The sequence below is a fragment of the Homo sapiens genome, chromosome 9 (assembly GCF_000001405.40).
Source record: "Homo sapiens chromosome 9, GRCh38.p14 Primary Assembly".
NCBI lineage: Eukaryota > Metazoa > Chordata > Mammalia > Primates > Hominidae > Homo > Homo sapiens.
The window spans coordinates 37,914,291-37,933,509 of NC_000009.12; the positions used below are offsets into that span (position 1 = coordinate 37,914,291).

Sequence of the window (19,219 nt, forward strand, 5' to 3'; positions counted from 1 at the left end):
AGAACACATTCTAGAGGTGACCTTTCCTCCCTCCCTTCAGGAAATTCCCGGTGGCAGAGCACTGGCATTGCCTGTGGCCCCTTGGTCCTGACCAAGCTCAGGAATGTTTTCTGTCACCAGGACCCTGTGCCAGGGCTTTGCCCTCCCCGAGCACAGGCGTTCCCCGGGTGTGTGTGTGTGCACGTGCATGTGTATGCTGGGGCATGGGGGTGTTGGTGTCAATGCTCTGAGGGAGCCTGACAGTTGGAGGTGTGGATTCTGGGACACTGGGATGTATCGGGGAGGTGGGGGAGAGGGGAAGAGGTGAACCAAAGCCCTGGAGTCCTGGAGAGTCGGGGAGGAAGGGGGCCAGCTGGGGAGACAGACAGCCACATTCTTGAAAAGGAGAAGGGAGGGAGGAGTGGCAACTAAGTTCCTGCGGAGGCGGGGGCGGGGGTTGGGGGGGTCGAGGAATCACTCCAGAGCAGGCCCCCAACATGCTGGGGAATGCTGTGCCCCTTCAGGTGTAGGTGAGGAGGGGCTTGGGCGCAGACCTTCCAGGTGGACCTGGGCTGCCTAATGCTGTCATCATGGCGATGGTGGCAGGCAAACAATGGCAGATTTTGTGCCAAGACTCGTGTCCTGCCCTTCTCTCCTTAAGAATTCAGCTCCTCTAGGAAACAGGTGGCCAGCATCTCCCCATCTTTGGGGAGACCCTCCCTGCCCTGCCCTGTTCATTTGCCTCTGCGGAATGAGGCCTCTGGAGTCCCAGGAGTCTGGCCACCTCCCACCAGGGCAGGCTGCACCACATTAGGCTCTGATGGACTCACCCTGATGATTCTACCACCTGTTATCTCTGCATAGACCATCCAGCCCGCCAGGATCTCTGCTGAACTCCTACCATCCCCCAAGGCCCAACTTTCCCTGACCGCTGCAAGCAGATTCAATTCCCTCTCATCTGGGATCCCACAGCTCCTTGGGTTGTTTTTACACACTGGAAACTTCTTGAGGGCAGGGGCTGAGTCCCATTCACCACTGTATCCACCAGACCTGAGGACCAGTAGGTACTCACTGAATGTCTGCTGAACGAATTCATTTATTTCCATTGAGCTCATTAGGCCTCTCTCTTCCTCATAATTAGGAAGCAGAAAGGTTGCTTTTTCCTTTAACAATCCACCTTTGGAAGCTGATGGCAAGAGCTCAGCTTTTGCAAGCAGAAGGCAGTCCAGCTAGATTCCTGGGGCACATGACTGCATTAAAAAACAAACAAACAAAAATCATGCATGCTCAAGGAGGTGCATTTAAAGGAGACACTGTGTGGCCAGGCACCCGCCAGTAATCCCAGGACTTTGGGAGGCCAAGGTGGGAGGATCCCTTAAGCCCAGGAGTGAGACCAGTAGCCTGGCCAACATGGCAAAACCCCATCTCTACTAAAAATGGAAAAATTAGCTGGGCATGGTGGTGCATGTCTGTAGTCTCCGCTATGTGGGAGGCTCAGGTAGGAGGATCACCAGAGCCTGGGAGGCAAAGGCTGCAGTGAGTGGAGACTGTGCCACTGCACCCCAGGCTGGGTAACAGAGAAAGACCCTGTCTCAAAAAAAAAAGAAAGAAAAAAAAAAGACAAATGGTAAACAAGACACTTGTAGTATATTAAGAGCTTCACATTAAATATTCATCATTATACAGTGTGTCACATAGATTTGGAATGTTACAAGAGACTTCAGCAGTAGGTGGCTGGTTTAAGGCTCCTGGCAGGGATGCAAACAGCCCCAAGGAGGGAGGTGGAAAGGCCAAGGGGCACCTGTGTTCCAGGACCAAGGGGCTTGCCCTCCTGCAAGCGCGCCTGTGAACAAGTCCCCGTGGGGTTCTGGGAGGTGCGCCCACATCTAAGACTGTGCGCCCTGCACTCCCTCTGGATGGCTTGCCGAATTTGGTCTTCGCTGATCACCAATTCTGGAAGGGTGGAGAGACAGTTGGCTGGACAGCTGCCTGATTCGGCCATGACCCTTCACGGGTGTCTGTGGGCCAACACCAAACGCCAGCCTGCTCTGCTGGCAGGGCTTCTACCTGCACAGTCCCTAGGGCTGCAAGAGCAAATGGGGACCCTGGCTGCCGGTCCTTGCCAGGCCCTTGGTCAATGATATCACCACTTCTGAGACAGCGTCTGGGGAGCTACCGGAACTTCGTGTTCAGCATCTTACAAAGGGGGCCGCTGGTTCTGGGAATGGGCAGAGGGAGCCTGCAGCTCCACCCTGTTGACCGGACGCCTTGCGGGTAGCTGCTTCAGGTTTCCCTCCTGCTCACTCTCAGGCCACAGAGGGGCCCCGGCCCACAGCCGCCCTGTGAGGACAGGGCCTGCCTCCTGAAGCCTCGGAGTCTTTGCACCCCTTTCCTGGGAACAGCTACGCTGTGAGCCTCTCTCCAGGAGAGGGTGTCAGCCTGGGCCATTCTTCTGACTTCAGGACGGGACTGGCAGGCGGTGGGGCCCTCTTCCCCTACAAAGCCTCCTTTCTTTCTGTGGGCGCCATCCTGTTTGGGGGGCTGCCAGAAGGGCCCTTGACTCCTCAGCGCTCAAGGACAGAGTTGCTCAAGTGGGCAGGCATTATGGTCAATAATAAAGCCAGCAAAGAAGGGAGACACAGAAACAGCCGCTAGTGCTGGAGGTTCTCAGACAAAATGCCGAGGGCGCGACGTTGTGTGGCAGGAGCTTTTCTTTTCTCTCAAAGAAATCCAGCTCAATTTTTTCCCCAATTAATTGGCAGCAGATGAAAAAAAAAAAAAACAAACCCAAAACAAAAACCAAACCAAAGCCAGTAACCTGAATGTGAGTGTTTCTGAAAGGGAAAAGCTGTTTCAATTGTTAGATGTCCAAGAAAACATGAATACAGGCTGACACAGGAAACGGTCACAATTAGAGGAAGAAGAGGGAGAGGTTCATAAAATTAAGGGAAAAAAATTCTTTTCAGCAGCTCCCATCCTGTAAGCTGGCTCCTCTGCTGGCCTCTGTCCCTGAGAGGGGCAGGAGGTTGGGCCTCCCAGGGAAACTTCAGGAAGACGAAGGCCAGGGACAGAGGGAGGGTCCCAGGAATACCCTAAGAGGCCAAGTCAGGGCCAGAGGGCACAGCTGCCAGCTTCCACTGAGACCCTCCCAGAGCCTTTTCTGAGGAGCAATGTGCCCGGGAAGATGGTCTACAGGGAAGGACCGTGAGGTGCGGCCCCACCCAGCAGCCTCAGGAAGTGGCTGGACCTGAACTTGCCAGTGTGAGGTCTCACCCTCCTCCCCCGCCGGAGGGTTGTTCCCCCTCTTCCTCAGCCTCTCTTGGGCCTCCTCTGAGAATAAGCCTTGGGGTCCAGGCTCCTCTGTTTGGCCAAGTGCCAACTCCTCACTCATCTTGTCATTTCCCACCTACCTTCCCACTCCCCCAAAGGAAAGCACGAATCGTTCCAGGGTGTCCCTGCCTTCCTCCCTCATTGAGGGATGTTTTAGGAAATGCCAAACAGGCAAGGAAAGGATTGGCTTCTTTAAGAGATTAAACCCAGGCCACAGCCAGCGTGGTCTCTATGAGGGCTGGGCCACGTGGACGTGCCAGACAAGGCCTGGGAGGAAGACCCAAGAGGCAGACTGGTCACTAAAGGCGGGTCACCAAGGGCAGGGCTTTGCACAAACCGCTGAAGTCCACGCAGCTACCTAAAGGGGCAGGGCTCAGTCCCAGCTCGACACGTGGCCTTGGCGAGTCCTCCTTCTCCGGGCCTGTGTCTCTGCATGTGAACAGTGAGCTGGAACCACCTCCAAACAGTCTCTAAAGACATGAGCAGCGCTGATGTCTGAACCTGCTGATGACATTCAAACTCGGCCCCTTGTGCTCTGCCCAGGTGGGCCAGGGATGACAGTCGTCAAACTTCTAGTTCATTCAGACCAGCTGGTGCCTGGCGAAGGCTCTGGAACCCTTGTATCTCATTCAGGAGAGGGCAGCCACATCTTCATGCTACTGGGTGGGTGGAAAAAGCAGGAGAGCTGAGAAACTCTTAGCCTCATCGGGGCTGCCTGGCCTGTGTGGGAGGACCCTGCTATGGCAAGCAAGAGAGAGGTCGCGTGTGCGTGTGCGTGTGTAGGTGTTCTTGTGTGTGGAAGCAGTGTGGACCACTGAGGGCTGTGTGTGTGTGTGTGTGTGTGTGTAGGTGTTCTTGTGTGTGGAAGCAGTGTGGACCACTGAGGGCTGTGTGTGTGTGTGTGTGTGTGTGTGTAGGTGTTCTTGTGTGTGGAAGCAGTGTGGACCACTGAGGGCTCTATGTCCCTGGGAGGTCAGGATTCTCCCTCCTCCATGGGCAGGGTGACAGCAAGGCCATGCAGAACCAACGAAAGAGCATTGGCTGCAGAACCGCTCTGCTGCTGGTGAGCTGTGTGGCTTTGGGCAAATGACGTTCCTTCTCTGTCTCCCTTTCCCTACATGCCAAATACCTCCCAGGTGGTGCTAACAGATAGTGGGGAGAGAGCCCTTTGTAGCCAGCTGGGTGCTGTGTCCAGGGGTTGGGGGGGTGTCAACACAGACGTCCCACTGCAGGAGGGAAAGACTGGTTTTTTGGTCAACACTGGAGGCTCCTGACTATGTCCACTGCTGAAGCCTGAACTCTGAGCTCTGGGTTGACTCCCAGAGTGCTACCGACTGCCTCAGCCCAGTTGTCAGAGCAGACGGCTCTTGTGTCCAGAGCTGCTGAGGGCTGGAGCTGAGGCCTCGGCCTCCCTCCCCTCCCTGGGGCCTGCCACAGCAGCAAGCCCAGAGGAGACACGCCTTGCTCTGGGAGTGAAACCAGAACTGCCCCCTCAGAGACCCTCTGCAGTATATCAAAAAAGGATAAGGCTATATATTAAATGACTATTTTATTTACACACCCTATTCATAAATAATTGAATCCTCTTTTTGACTGCACAATGATTCCTTGAAGATAGCCTAATGATTACACTGAGTGACTACAAGTAGATCAGTGGGCTTACCCATCTGTGTGTGACCACCTTCTCACATCTGTACTCACACACACACTCACACAGACACACATATACACACCAGCGGGGCGGGAACCCCGGGGCCTCCGGGACTCTCAAAGCACCAGCATTTGGCTCCCAGCATCAGTAGGGGGGCTCCTGTGGGAAAACTTTGCCCTGTACAGAGGTGTGAATTTGAGACAGCTGGAGAACAAAGAGATGTCAGCCAGGGAGCTCCCGCCCCACCCTACCCCGCCCCTCGGAGCTGGTCTGCCTTTGTTCATCCTGGAAGGCATCTCTTTGGATTTGCAAATATTTTAATTCACAGAAACTCAAGGAGAGGGTGGGGGTGGGGGCTGGGGTGGTGTGTTGCCGCCCTTCTGTCTTTATCCAGGCCTTCTCCAGCCCCCGTAAGTGGCAACAGCATTCTAGAGACATGCAGTGGTGTGCTAGTACCATACACACAACACAAACGACACAGCCAGCAACAGTGGCTGGGCTGGTTGGTGGGGGGCCTCTGGCACCTCCAAGTCTCAGGCTCTGTCACAGAGCAGGGCAGGTCTGGTCCGCTCACAGGGTCCTCACAGCCACGGGATAGAGGAGGGACAAGTGCTCAGCCCCTTTGATGGGTAGCTTTCTGGTGGTGTAGTAGTGGATGACTTCCGGGACACTGTCGAACGGAGGGCTGTTCTGACCCAGAACGTATTTCTCTTTGGTTTTGGCCAGTTTCATGTGCATAAAACCCTGGTTGCTCCTGTGAACAAAACACAGAGTTATCAGAACTACCCCCCTGACACTCAGGCTGAGGCCAAGGGTCTCCTCAGCTGTCTGGGACAGAAGGGATCCCAGCCATGAAGTGGCTGTGAGCTGCACCTCTCCAAGCCAGGACCGAGGCCCAGGACCAGATGAAATGCAGCTGCACCCAAGCGCACCCCCAATTCCGGCATCTGACCCGGAACCAGCAGCAGCCGCCACTGCTACAAGAGAGCATTCCAACACTGAGCGCTTCTAGGGACTTCTTCAGAAAAACAAAACAAAACAAAACAAAACAAAACAAAACAAAACAAAACAAAACAAAACAAAACTTAGTCCCTCTTTTCTATTACCAGTGCATATCCCTGTTTAAGCCTTGCCTGACAGGTGCAAAGTGTGTTCATGTCCCCAATGCCATGACAAGTGGGTAGGGCAGGGGTCATCACCCCCAGTTTCCAGAGGAGGAAACTGTGTGGCAGGGATGGCAAGTGATCTGTCCTTCCCTTTCAGTAGTAGGAAACTGTCACTGGGAAGGGGCCACCCAGCCAGGGACTACATTTCCCAGCCTCCCTTGCAGGCAGTTAGCCATGTGACTTGGCTTAGCCACTGGAAGGTGGGCAGAAAGTCTGTACTACCTGCCCTTCTTTATAAACCCTGTCTCCTGCAAGGTCCAGCCTGTGTTGCCTCTGCTGGGTGGTTTTCCAGGCTCCCACAGGCAGAGCTCCTTCCTTCATCTGGTGGCACTGAGGACACGCATGCCTTCCTGAACTGTAGGTACTTAGCCACCATCCCGGCTCCTCTGAGCATGCCATGGAGCAGGGCCCAGTCTATGTCCACCATGCTTGGCTTCAGACCTGCTTGGGAGGAGCCACCTGAAGTCTGCTCAAGGAAAAGCAGTGGGTGGGTTTCTCAGAGATCAGAGCACACAGCCCTTGCAGCCTGCCTGCATCAGCTCACGAGGGCCAAAGCCACAGTCCTCCCACCAGCATTTGCCTAGCCCCAGCAGACCTCTCCCAGCTCTCACCAGGGCTGCAGCCACACTGGATCCCTCACCCCTCCACCAGCCTGTCCTCTGCCTGCCCACTCAGTTCCACGCCTTTTATGATTCTACTGTGATTCTGCCACCAGACGTGTGGATGCTTTAGATTTTCCAAAGCACAGTCCACTTTATCGGGTGTCTGTCCCTTAGGTAGAAAGCTGGAGCTTCTGACAAATCACCTGCCCCCATCTCCACGGCCTCCAGCAGACTCCCCCAACCTGAGCTCCAAGCAGACTTGAAGGTTTGCAGCCTTTCCGCTCCAGCTCCGCCCCTAGCCGCTGTCGCTCCCACAGGGGCTCTCAGGGCTTGAACACATCTCTTCCAGTCAGGACTGGGCTTCCCAAGCTTACAAGTGCCCACTCTATTAACACCTTAATTTGGGCTCCAGGACCATTTTTAAATGGGCAGAACAAATGCTTAATGAAGTGCGAGCACTAAGCAATATGTCTGCTCATAATAATGTATTTAGAGATGTCACCCTTAGCTTAAAGGAAATCGTTGGGAGAGCCAATTACATTTCAAGAGAGACTAATTCCTGTAAAGAACTGGAATTTAAATCAAGATTTTTTTTAAGGCTGGCAATGTTCTAATTACAGAGCCTGTGGCAAGTTCTGCTCCTCAGTGAAGGGTCATTTCATCGGAGAATTGCCTAGACACGTCTGAGAAGCAGGCGGCGCACTCGCTTAGGCTGCAGAAAGGAAACGGCATGTGTGTTACAAGAAGAATGTAAAACTCCATTCCAGCAAAGACTCACCTACCCACCACGCCGAAGAGACCACAGATCTGTGCCAGTTTGGAAAGGGCTGTGATTGCTTAAGTAATGCGCTGAAACTGTGTGGCTGAGAAAACAGCAGAAGAGTTAAAAAGCTGAGCTCTCAGAGCCACATGCCCAGCTTTGCCTGGAGAAGGGGTGTGGAAGGGCGAGAGAGCAGGGCTGGTAAGGAGGGGCTGCAGGTGCCAGGGACACTCAGCAGGGAGGAGGGTATGACCCTGGGCACATCATTCCCCTCTGCGTGCATGCACTGAGTGGCCTTACGTTTTTGGGGTGCTGGACCAGCAGGCTTTGTGATTCTCACAGATCTATACCTGGGGGACAGAGTGGAGGAGGTGTCAGGCAGAGGGTCACAGCCGCTGGCGGGAACTGAGTCTGCCAGTGTGCAGGTATGAAGCTGCAGGGGAACAAGCCAGTTTCATTTTCAAGGTTAGGAGAGTAACTCACATGGGTGAAGGCAACATTTCATATGAATTTGTTCTACGGCATCTGGCAAGGGAAGTGGACAGTGATAGCAGCAATGGCTCTGACAGAGTCCGAAGCAGAAGCTAAGCTCCTCTGTTCCCAGGTTAGGGGCTTAGAATGGCCACCAAGTACTAAAAGCCACACAATGTCCTCTGTACCTTGGCTGCCGACAGATAGCGAGGTGGGGCAGCTGCCAGGCTGAAGAGAGTCTAGACGTCCCCGGGAAGTCCCTCCTGCCTGTCTGAGCCTGCTGTTTATCACCCCCAACACACTCCTATCTCGCCTGTGTAAGCACCCACGAGTTTACCACCCTGAGCCAGGCTGTGCCGATGGGGCAGACTGGTCATGAAGCTCAGAGACCAAGGCAGAGCTGGGACCAGCACTTGGGCTCCATGAACCTCTAGTCTGTGGCCTGACCATTCTCAGGCAGAGGGAGAAAGGCGCGTTCACATGCTGACCCTCCTGGGCTCAAGCACTGCACCCCGTGGGTTCCCTGGCCCTCAGGCTATCCTTGTGCCTTGCTGGGCTCTGTCCCTTCTCCTGCTGCATCCACAGGGAGGCTGACTAGATGACCCTGGGGGGTACTTCCAGCCCTAGATCCTGGATTCCACATGTGCAAAACATAATCTGCTGCCTACCCGCTGAGGGCTTCCTGCAGGAAGGGGTCTGCAAGCAGCCTCACACCTTCCCTCCACCGCTGCCCTCATCCCCAGTCCTGCTTTCACTGGGGCATTGGCCAGGATTGCCTTCAGGGACAATCCTTCCTGTAGGCCAGGCTCTATGTCCTGAAGCACCGAGGTGCAGAAAGGGGAGGTGTCTGGCCCAAAGTCACACAGTGATTATCAGCAGCAGATGCCCAGAGTCAGTGCTCCTGACCTCAGCACTCCCCAGACCTGAGAGAGGGCCTCATGTAACCCTCAGTGTTCCATGTGAAGCCAGGCAGAGGGGGCGGATGAGAGGCGTCAGACTCTGAGCAAACATCCCCTCCACGCTGATCTTCCGCCTCCACAGCGCCCATGGTGCAGGGCTGACGGCAGGTCAGAGACAGCAGAGGGGCTGGGAGTAAAAGACAATGTGTGGCACCCACACAAGGGGCTGTGCCGAGGATTGGAAATGGCATGTTCTGATTGGTGGAGCCCCCCAGCCTGAGAGGCAGGGTGGTGACCGCCCCCCCAGGGGTCCGAGGTCCCGAGACTATCTGCCAATCCTCGACCAATGCAAGGGTCAGGTGACGCCTTGTCCACACACAGCCAGGAGACATGCTGTGACAATACATTCTCATTGGTTAAGGTCCCCATGAGGGAGATGCCATCTAACAGTTGAAGATTTAAAAGCAGCTGCCAGGAGTGGCTTCAGTGACTCCCACCTTCACACAAAAGGAGACGCGAGCATGAGCAAAGGAAGCATGAGCACTTCTGTGGAGAACAGAGGGGTTCATCAGGCAAGGAGTATGGCTGCTCCAGGCAGCATGTATTCTGAGCTGCAAGCAGCCTGGGGGTCACCTCTCACTCCCCTGGGGTACCGTGGAGGAAACTGAGGCCAGAGAGTACACTACCCTGGCCCAAGGCGCACAGCAAGGCAGGCTGCAGGTGAACCCAGAGCCCCGGCCCCGCATCCCGAGCCAGCTGAGCCGGGCTCCGAGCCACATCTCCTCCCACCCTTCTTCAAGGCAGCATGGGCTTCCACACCTCGGCACCGTCATCAGCACCATCGTCGTTCAGGGAGGGCATTGCCCCCGGGGAGCTTCAACAGGCTGCTATGCCTGCCAAGCTCCTGCATCAGCCACATCTCCTTTGATAGGACATCTTGCGAGGGCAAAGTCACAATGAGAGGTGTCTCTGGTGGGTGACCTGTCTAATGAGTCTTGTAAGGCTGGCAGAGGCCGGGGTGCTGGAGCTGTCACAGGCGTTCAGATCGCTCATTATCATCACAAAAAGCACCTCCTCATCATCAGGATTATCAAATGTGCCGGGCACGCAGGGCTAATAACAGGCCCCACCTTGCAGCGCAATCACGGGCTTTAATAAAACATTACTCAGCCTGCAGCTGCCGGCCGCCGAGCAGGGTGCGAGGCCTCACCTCTCGCTTTTAGACCTAATTGCTTGATGCATATTTCATGAAGAATCCTGGGTAATAGTTATGTTAAATCGCTTCTTTTCATGATGAAATGACTTAAAAATACTTGCATATAATATTTATGCAGGAGAAGGATGGAAATTGGCCTTTGGGACTAATGTGTGGGACCCAGTTACAGGACTCCAGACACAGAGGGGATTTCTGGTTTACCTTAGCTTGAAAGGTGCATGGGGAGCTGCTGTCCTGACCCAGATGTCCCCAGAACATTAGCCCTCAGGTCAAAACCATCTAAGGCTCCCCATGGCCAAAACAGATATAACAACACCCAGTACTTCAAGAGCCCCTACTGGGTACTGGGCTCTGAGCTGAGCTGTTGCCACATATTATCTCATTTAAACTGTAGAGCAAACAACTTTAAGTTGTTAGAATGATCACTGTTTACAGATGGGAAAACTGAGGCTCAGGAAAATTGTGTCTCATGGGACATGGTAGGGCTAGGATTTGAACCTATGTTTGTTGAACTCCAAAGCCTGGCATTCAAGGCCCTGAAGCTCCCACCACAGCCTCATCTTCCTCTGCTCAGCTACCCGTTGGCCTCTTTCTGCCCCAAGATCTGGCTTCCCTGCAGCTTGGTGAGAACTGGAGGTTAAGAATCCTGTCAGCCCATTGTGATGTTTCTCAGCAGGCTGAGCCTTAGCCCCCTCTGGCCTCTGGGCACACATACATGCCTGGCACACAGCTGGGGCACTGTGCCCATCACCCATCCACCCATCTATCCATCCATCCATCCATCCACCCGCCCACCAGGGTCTGCCCAGAGCCGGGGCAATGAGGCCCCATGCATCCTCCCCTCCAGACGTAAGCTTCCCAGGGCAGGCTGGTGGCTGGTCGACCTTGTCCCTGACTGCAGCCCAGCAAAGGGAGAAGCTGCCCACTCTGAGGCTGGATACAGTGGATGCTTTCTCCAGTCAGCAACAGTCCCAGGACGAGCCAGTGAGAACTGGCAGAGTGGGAAGGACTGGGGAGCTTCCGGAGGGTCATCCCTATGAGGTGAGTACACAGGCACACGCTTTTCAAATCAGAAAGTCTCCCCCAGGGAGGCCACAGGGAAGAATGCACCAGAGCCCTCTTCCCTTAGGATTTGGAAAGGACTTATTCCTGAGGCCACTCAGCCGCCCAGTGTCCCCTGCCCAGGCCTAAATAAAACATGAAAGTGAGACAAGTTCCCTTGCAAAATCATGGTCTTCTTGAAGGGGTAATGTGAGCGCTGGCCCTGCCCCTCCCTACTCAGGCTCTAAGTGGCTGCGTCTTTTCTTCTTGTTGGGCTATTTTATTTTGCTATTTTTTACCCCTACTCTTTCTTATGACTTTATTTTCCATTACCCCAAAGAATGTGGCACAAAGCTGTTGGGCCATTTTAAACATTTAAATCTTACATTGTGCGAAGATTCCTGGGCCAGGTTGTTGGAAGGAGAGACAGAATGAGCTTGTGCATTTAAAGTGCACTCAACCATCAGTTGCCAGATAATTCTCAGGTGAGGGAGGTGTCGCAGGTCCCTTGGCCTTGGGGAGCAGGGCAGCGAGTGCTCACACTCTGATCCCTGGGAGCACTGCCTCTATGCTTGGCATGGGGAAGGGCCCTTCCACCCCCACAGACATGTACTTGCTTCCAACAGGGTGGAGGCAAACAGGGAAGTTTGTGCGGAATTGAAGGGAGTCAGGCCCAGCTCTAATGCTAACCTGCTGTGATGTGGGTGAGAGCCAGCATGGAGGGTGACCATGGCAAGGTACCTCCGTGGTCACCTACAAGCCTGCAAAATGGGTAGTTCCTGCCATAACCCCACCCCCACCCTGAGGATGGCAATTCTGCCTCTTGAAAGCAGTGCCTTTATGACTCACAACTTCTGCTCTCCTCCTGCCGCCTCTTTGACCTCCAGGGAAGTGGGACATTTTGCTAGGTCTATGCCTCTAAAGAAACTCTCCTCCTCACACCCGCGAGCAGGATGCAGCCACTTCAGCAACACTAGTGCTAGAAGATTCGAGAAGCACAGCATTACCCATCTTACCGACTGTGGCCATGCTGCCAAGAGCTCTATGTACCTCTTCACAGCAACACCAAGAGATGGGCCTACAGATTCCAGGTGGGGAAACAGAGTCAGAGGGCTCAAGTGACTGGCCTGGGACTATGCAGCCACTGAGGCGAGAAGTGAGACTGAACACAAGTCCATTGAATCTTCACAGAGCCAGAGTGGGTGCCCGCCTGCCAGGCAGACACACGACCCCGTTCTCCCTCAATGTGTGGTAGATAAAGAGGCGGTAGAGATCTCTGAAGAGAATTAGGCCACTGTTTCAGTACAGCATTCAGCAAAGAGAGGGCCCTGCTATCTTAGCAGAAAGCCAACAATCCCAAATGCATGGAGAGCTGTAGCCTGGACCTGGGCTACCTCCTTACAGACACTGCCCCAACACTGTGAGAGATGTGGCTTCTCCACAGCAAATATTTCAACAGTCCACCTCTGTGGTCCAATTACTCACCCAGAGCCCAGGCAGATCCCACTCACACAGGGCCTGGCCTACCTCTGGCATGGCTGAGAAGACCTTAAATGCTCCCTTGGTCCATGACTGGACTAACCTGTGGCCTCCCAAGGAAGCTGGGAGGGCTGGCATTATATGCAAGATACCCACTGCACAGATGAGAAGACTAAGGGTCTGAGGGAGAAGCAACTTGCCCAGTCACGATGCAAGGCTATCAGGGCTTCCCAAGCCAGGGGACCAGGATGTAAGTGCATCTCACTGTGTGACTGGTTTCTCCAGCTGTCTGAGGCGTGGGGCAGGGGGCATGGAGGCTCCTTCTAGCTGAGATGTTCTAATAGTCAAGGCAGCTGGGATAAAGGAGCTTAGGAGGCCACGTGGCCAACACCTGCATCCTGCCCACAGCTTCCAAAGCAGCCTTCACAGTGACAAGCCAAAGACACACACACCAAGTTATTGTGAACAAACGTCTCAATGTAAACGCTGCTGAGCAAAATGACGTGATTTACAACCAAATAATTAGACTTTCAATAGACGCATCAGCAGCGATTAGCCTACCCGAGACGCCAGGGCATTTCTCAAGCTCTAAGTTGGTGGCCCAGGGTGAAGGCCTTCAGTAAATCATGACAAAAAGCCATCTCTAGGCAGGAGAGCTGGCAGATGCCTCTCCTGGCGAACATGTAGAGGCATAAGGCTCGTTTTAGCACACAAAGCAGTAGGTATGTCAAAATGAACCCATTTTGGGCAATTTTTCTCATGAGAAAACCAACACATTATTAGACAAGAAGTTTTTAAATGATGAGCGCTCAGACTGAGGGAGTAAGCCTCCCATTACCAGGGGTGTGTAAGTGGGAAGGCAATGACACTTGGTGGGTGGATCCCGCTGGATGCCTTTTGTAGTCCCCCCTCAGGGTTCCCACCAGCCTCAGCCAAGTGCACGTGGAAACTGCAAGGAGGGCTGGACGCAGAAGCGGAGGGGGATGGTGAAATGCTGCCAAAGCTTCAGGAAAGGGAAACAGGGTCTAGGGCTTCTTTCTTTCCTTCCTCTCTTTCTCTTTCTCTCTTTTTTTTTTTTCTACCTCTAATTGAGGACTTTTCTAGGAACATGAAGGCCTGTGTGTCGGAAATTATTTTTCTCCACTCTTCAGCCCTGGGCGCTTCCCCAAAGGGAGGAAGTTCAAAGTCTGATCCCACTGATATCATTGGCTGGGCAAGTCCCCTCCCCCTGGGCCTCAGCGTCTCCCTCTGGAAAAGCTGGAGGGGATCCCTTCAGTGCTGAGTTCTCAAGTCAGTGACGGACATGCCAGTGTGGGTGGGAGCACCACAGCAGGAGGAACAAGGCAGGGCAGAATGGCTCCCCTCATGGAGGGAGACAGGTGGGTACACTGGCCACAGTGGATCCTGGGCTTGGGGACAGCAAAATGACAAAAGCAGGCTTCTCATGCCTGTGCCAACAGGATGGACAGAATCCAGGCCAAGGGTGATCTCTTCCTACTGAGGACAAGGCTATCTGAGCCCTTAGGCTCCTTAAAGCAGTGGCTCCTACCTGGGGCAATTTTGCACTCCCTCTTCCCTGGGGAATACTCGCAATGTCTTGGTACATAGGTGCTACTGGCATCTAAGTAAGAGGAGGCCAGGGACGCTGCTAAATACCCTACGACGCACAGCACAGCCCCCACAACAAAGAATAATGTAGCCCAGCTTCCCACAGTGCCTAGGCTAAAGCCACACCACTCGCTAGACGGCCAGTGCCTCAAATTCTGCATCCACAACATGGGAATAACCAGAGTCCACCCTTGCTGCTGTGGTGAGGGGCAGATGAGAACCTCCACATGAAGTGTGAACGTCTGACGAATCCCGGCTCGCCTGGCCCCTTATGTAAAGGTGTAAGACACAGAGCGGAATCTGCCAAATGGCTTGGTTCCAGAGGGCTCCAGGCTGTTTCCAAGGACAGGACCCCCTAGTCCCACCTGAGCAGCACATGGTGGGAGATGTACCACATCTGAGGAGACTCCAGAGCAGGACCATGCAGAGGCTGGGCCAAGGCAGCCTCGGGGGAAGCCCCAGCTGCCGAGGGGAGGACTTGGAGCGCACAATGGCTTTTATAGCCCAAAGGGGGCCAGCGCCCTGGGGTTGACCCAGGCAGGGCTGGAGAGGGGGGTGGGCCTTGGGGTGCCTGAGGATGGTGCTGTACGCAGCCCAGGCTCAGGGCCACCCAGACCTGTATCTGAGTCCCTGCCCTGAACTGTGCCTGGTCTGAGCTTCAGGTCCTCATCTGGGAAGTAGAGCTTTCACTGTTCACCCACAAGGGTAGTCTGAGGTCTGGACAGCAGGGAAGCAAGGCTCGCCAGGTGCGGAGGTGCCGCCGAGTATGCAGGATGTCGTTGGAGCCTGGTCACCTGGGTACAAATCTGCACTCTTTGGCAGGCCCCTCGGATAAGCATGACGTGAAACAGGGGGCTGGCACTAGATTCCAGCTTAATGCATTTTTAAATTTTTAAATGAAGAACAGTGCCTTTCAGAAAATACTGACGCCAGTGCAGGACTCAGGGTCCTGGCGTGGGTCTTGTTCTCATCTGCTGGGCAGGAGCCACTGCACCAGTGGCCGCCTGTCTGGTGTGTCTGGTGCACCTGGCTGGCTCTGTGCTGTCTGGGCTGAGCACTGAGCTAGGTTTCCCATACGTCTGCTCTGTCATTCACGGCTGCATTGGCAGCCCAGAAGCCATGGATGTGGCTGCAGGAGCGTCTCCTCCAGTTGGGCAGCCTGCCTGGCTGGGGTGGGATACCTGGGTTCTGGCCCAGCTCTGTGGCCGGATGACACGGGGCAAGGCGTTTACTGCCCTGAGATCGATTTCCTGAAACATCAAGTGTTCTTTCACCACAGTCTCTAAGGCACACTGTTGCACACAGGATCCACATGAAAAGAGAAAAGGAAGCTGGGCGTGGTGACTCATGCACTCCCAGCACTTTGGAAGGCCAATGCGGGAGAATTTCTTGAGCCTAGGAGTTTGTGAGACCAGCCTGGGCAACATCGTGAGACCTCATCTCTGTAGAAAATTTAAAAATTAGCCGGGCATGGTGGCACACGCTTGTAGTCCCGGCTACTTGGGAGGCTGAGGTGGGAGGATTGCTTGAGCCTGGCAGGCTGAGGCTGTAGTGAGTTGTGTTCACACCAATGCAGTCCAGCCTGGGCGACAGAGTGAGACCCTGTCTCAAAAAACAAAACAGAAAACGAACTAAACAGGAAACTGGTCATAGATGGTCAATGGCATTTATTAAGTGTCTACTGTGTGCACTGCTCTAAATGCAACATTTCTGAGGGAGACAAGACACCAACCAGATACTCTGAGATCATTTGGTTCCCTGTCATCATTTTACAGATGACACTGAGGCTCAGAGAAGGGCAGAGGTTTGCTCTCTTTCCGCAATACAGCCCCTGCCCCATGCCTCTATTGCGGAGGATTCTCTGGCAAGACCAGCAGACTAGAGTCTGCAGTAATGGGGTGTGACAAGCTGGGGTGGGGGATGTGGCAGGGGGAGGGGACATGCAGGGAGGGGAGAGGGGAAGGAAGCAGCAATGCCCCCTGCTCCTCATTTCTCATCCCGAGTCACCCCATGGACCTTTGCTCTTGCTAAAGCACAGTGCTCACCCTCACCAGTCTCTTCCTGGCCCACCCTGGTGGGGGCCTCCTCACCAACTGACCAAGGGTGTTCACCAGCACAGCAATGAAGCGGACTCACTATCCACAAAGCACCTTATCTAACTTAGTTTTATTTAAGAAAAAAAGTAAAGATGAGAAACTCAACAATCCTTATCAAAACCCCAATGTCATTCTTCACAGCAAAAGAAGAAACAATCCTAAAATTCATGTGGAACCATAAAAGACCCTGAGTAACCATAAAAGACCCTGAGTAACCAAAACAATGCTGAAGAAGAAAAGAAAGTTGGGGGCATCACACTTCCTGATTTGAAATTATATTACAAAGCTATAGTAATCAAAACAGTATGATACTGGCATACAAACAGACACATAGACCAGTGAAACAGAATAGAGACCCCAGAAACAAATCCAAACACATATGGGTCAACTAATTTTTGATGAGGGTACCAAGAAGACACAATGGAGAAAAGATAATCCCTTCAATAAATGGTGCTAATAAACTAGATTTCCACATGCAAAAGAATGAAACTGGACCCATATCTTCTATTACACACAAAAAATCAACTCAAAATGGATAAAAGACCTAAATATAAAAATAGAAACTATAAAACTCTTACAGCCCAGGGGAAAAGCTCCTGGACACTGGCCTTGGCAATGATTTTTTTGGATATCATATCAAAAGCTCAAAATAAATAAATGGGACTACATCCAAGCTCCTGCACAGTAAAGGAGACAATAAGATGAAATGGCAGCCTACAGATTGGGAAAAAATATTTGCAAACCATGCATCTGATAAAGGGTTAACATCCAAAATTTATAAAGGACTCACATAACTCCATAGTGAAAAAACAAATAACCTGATTATAAAATGGGCAAAAGACCTGAATAGACATTTCTCCAAAGAAGACATAAAAAAATGGCTGACAGGTATATGAAAAGGTGTTCAACATCAGCAATCATCAGGGACATGCAAGTCAAAACCACTATGAGGTATCACTTCATACCCACTAGAATGGCTATTATCAAAAAGTCAAAAGATAACAAATGTTGGCGAGGATGCGGAAAAAAGGAAACTCTTATACACTGTTGGTGGGAATGTAGATTGGTACAGCCATTATGGAAAAGAGTAAAGAGCTTTGTAAGGAAATTAGAAGTAGAACTACAGTATGACCTAGCGATCCCTTTTCTGGGCATATACCCAAAGGAAGTAAAATCACCATCTTGTAAAGACATCTGCACTCCATGTTTACAGCAGCGCCATTCACAACAGTCAGCATATGAAAACAACTGAAGGTCTGTCAAGGATGAATGGATAAAGAAACTGTGGTGTATGTATGACAGAATACTATTCCGCCCTAAAAAAGATCTTGTCATTCACCACACAGGAATAGGCCTGAAGGACATTAGGGGCAGTGAAATAAGCCAGATACAGAAATAAAATATTGTATATGGCCTGGTGTGGTGGCTCACGTCTGTAGTCCCAGCACTTTGGGAGGCCAAGGTGGGTGAATCACCTGAGGTCAGGAGTTCGAGACCAGCCTGGTCAACACGATGAAACCCCGTCTCTACTAAAAATACAAAAATTAGCCAGGCATGGTGGCGGGTGCCTGTAATCCCAGATACTCGGGAGGCTGAGGCTAGAGAATCACTTGAACCCAGGAGGCAGTGAGCCAAGATCGCGCCACTGCACTCCAGCCTAGGTAACAAGAGCGAAACTCCATCTCAAAAAAAAAAAAAAAAAAAAAGAAAAGAAAAATATTGTATGATTGATCTCATTTACATGTGGAATCTAAAACAAATTCAAATATGTAGAGATGGAGAAAAAAACAGTGGGTCCTTGGGGCAGGGTGGGGAGGAGATGGGGAGATGTAGGTCAGAGGGTACAAAAGAGCAGACATGCAGGATGAACAAGTCTAGAGAGCTGATGCACAACACGAGGACCACAGGTAATAAACAAATTGTACTTCATATGGGATTCATACTAAATGAGTAGATGTTAGCTGCTCTAGCCACAAAAAAAAAAAAAAAAAAAGGTAACTATGTAAGGTGAGGGATATGTTAATTTGTTTCACTATAGGAACATTTTTTGTTTTGCTCTGTCGCCCAGGCTGGAGAGCAGTGGTAAAATCACAGCTCACTCTGTAACCCCAAATGCCTGGGCTCATGGAATCCTCCTGCCTCAGCCACCCAAGGAGCTAGGACAACAGGGGTGTGCCACCATGCCTGGCTAATTTTTAAAACTTTTTATAGTAATGAGGTCTCACGACGTTGCCCAGGCTAGTCTTGAACTCCCAGGCTCAAGCAATTCTCCTGCCTTGGCCTCCCAAAGCGCTGGGATTATAGGCATGAGGTACTGCATCTAGCTCTTAGTAACCTTCTTACTATCTGTATGTATTCTATAACATCATGGTGTATATCTTCATTATACACAATAAACTTTATTTGAAAAGAAGAAAAAAAATCCAGAGGGGCCTTTTAAAACTGCAAATTAAGACAGATCTGCCTGCTCAAAGGCCACTGCATCTAACCTGAGGGTGGTTTTTCCTCCCTGGAATTTCAAAGGCATCGGGTTGACTGGGAACCACCCAGAAACCCTGCCAAGGACCTTTTGCAAATTATATGAATGACCGTGGTTCCTGGTGGAAAAACTCCCAATAGTTCTTGGGAATCTAGGCCTCAGTTTCTTCATCTGTGAAATAGAGAATAGTTTACAATGTTCCCTGAAGTCCACTGAAAGCTAAGTAAAGAGCTCAGAACTGGGTGTTGGGGTCCTGGCTTCTGCCTTCTCAGGCCTTGGTTTCCCCATCTACATGATGAAGAGACAACCTTTGAAGCTTGGCACATAGGAGATGCTCATACCACATGGGAAGGAAGGATATTAAACAAAAGGACTCGCCTTCATTACAGACACCATGGAGCCCCAGGGCTGGAAGTGGAGTGGAGGTTTTTAAAAAATAGAG

The 19,219-nt window shown here is 52.2% G+C and overlaps 1 protein-coding gene across 1 annotated transcript in view, besides 3 other annotated features; it reads right to left on the bottom strand.

Annotated features, from left to right (window-relative positions):
• Positions 1-1,607: 1,607 nt before the first annotated feature.
• The window catches only part of SHB (SH2 domain containing adaptor protein B), a 153,330-nt gene continuing 135,718 nt past the window's right edge, over positions 1,608-19,219 (bottom strand). The window contains exon 6 of the mRNA NM_003028.3: positions 1,608-5,714. Coding sequence (NP_003019.2) covers positions 5,531-5,714 — 184 coding nt within the window. The 3' untranslated portion in view covers positions 1,608-5,530. The remainder of the gene's footprint in view (positions 5,715-19,219) is intronic.
• Positions 8,064-8,163: an enhancer, noted in NCBI's record as "active region_28405". NCBI's record gives its function as "activates an Ori minimal core promoter by ATAC-STARR-seq in GM12878 lymphoblastoid cells {active_cell/tissue: GM12878}" and the evidence as "EXISTENCE:reporter gene assay evidence [ECO:0000049][PMID:35858748]".
• Positions 8,910-9,521: an enhancer, noted in NCBI's record as "H3K27ac-H3K4me1 hESC enhancer chr9:37923197-37923808 (GRCh37/hg19 assembly coordinates)". NCBI's record gives its function as "activates a minimal SCP1, AML or CMV promoter by ChIP-STARR-seq in naive and primed H9 embryonic stem cells {active_cell/tissue: H9 hESC(naive and primed)}" and the evidence as "EXISTENCE:reporter gene assay evidence [ECO:0000049][PMID:30033119]".
• Positions 9,022-9,316: an enhancer, noted in NCBI's record as "tiled region #877; HepG2 Activating non-DNase unmatched - State 17:Gen3'". NCBI's record gives its function as "activates a minimal TATA promoter and a strong SV40 promoter by Sharpr-MPRA in HepG2 cells {active_cell/tissue: HepG2}" and the evidence as "EXISTENCE:reporter gene assay evidence [ECO:0000049][PMID:27701403]".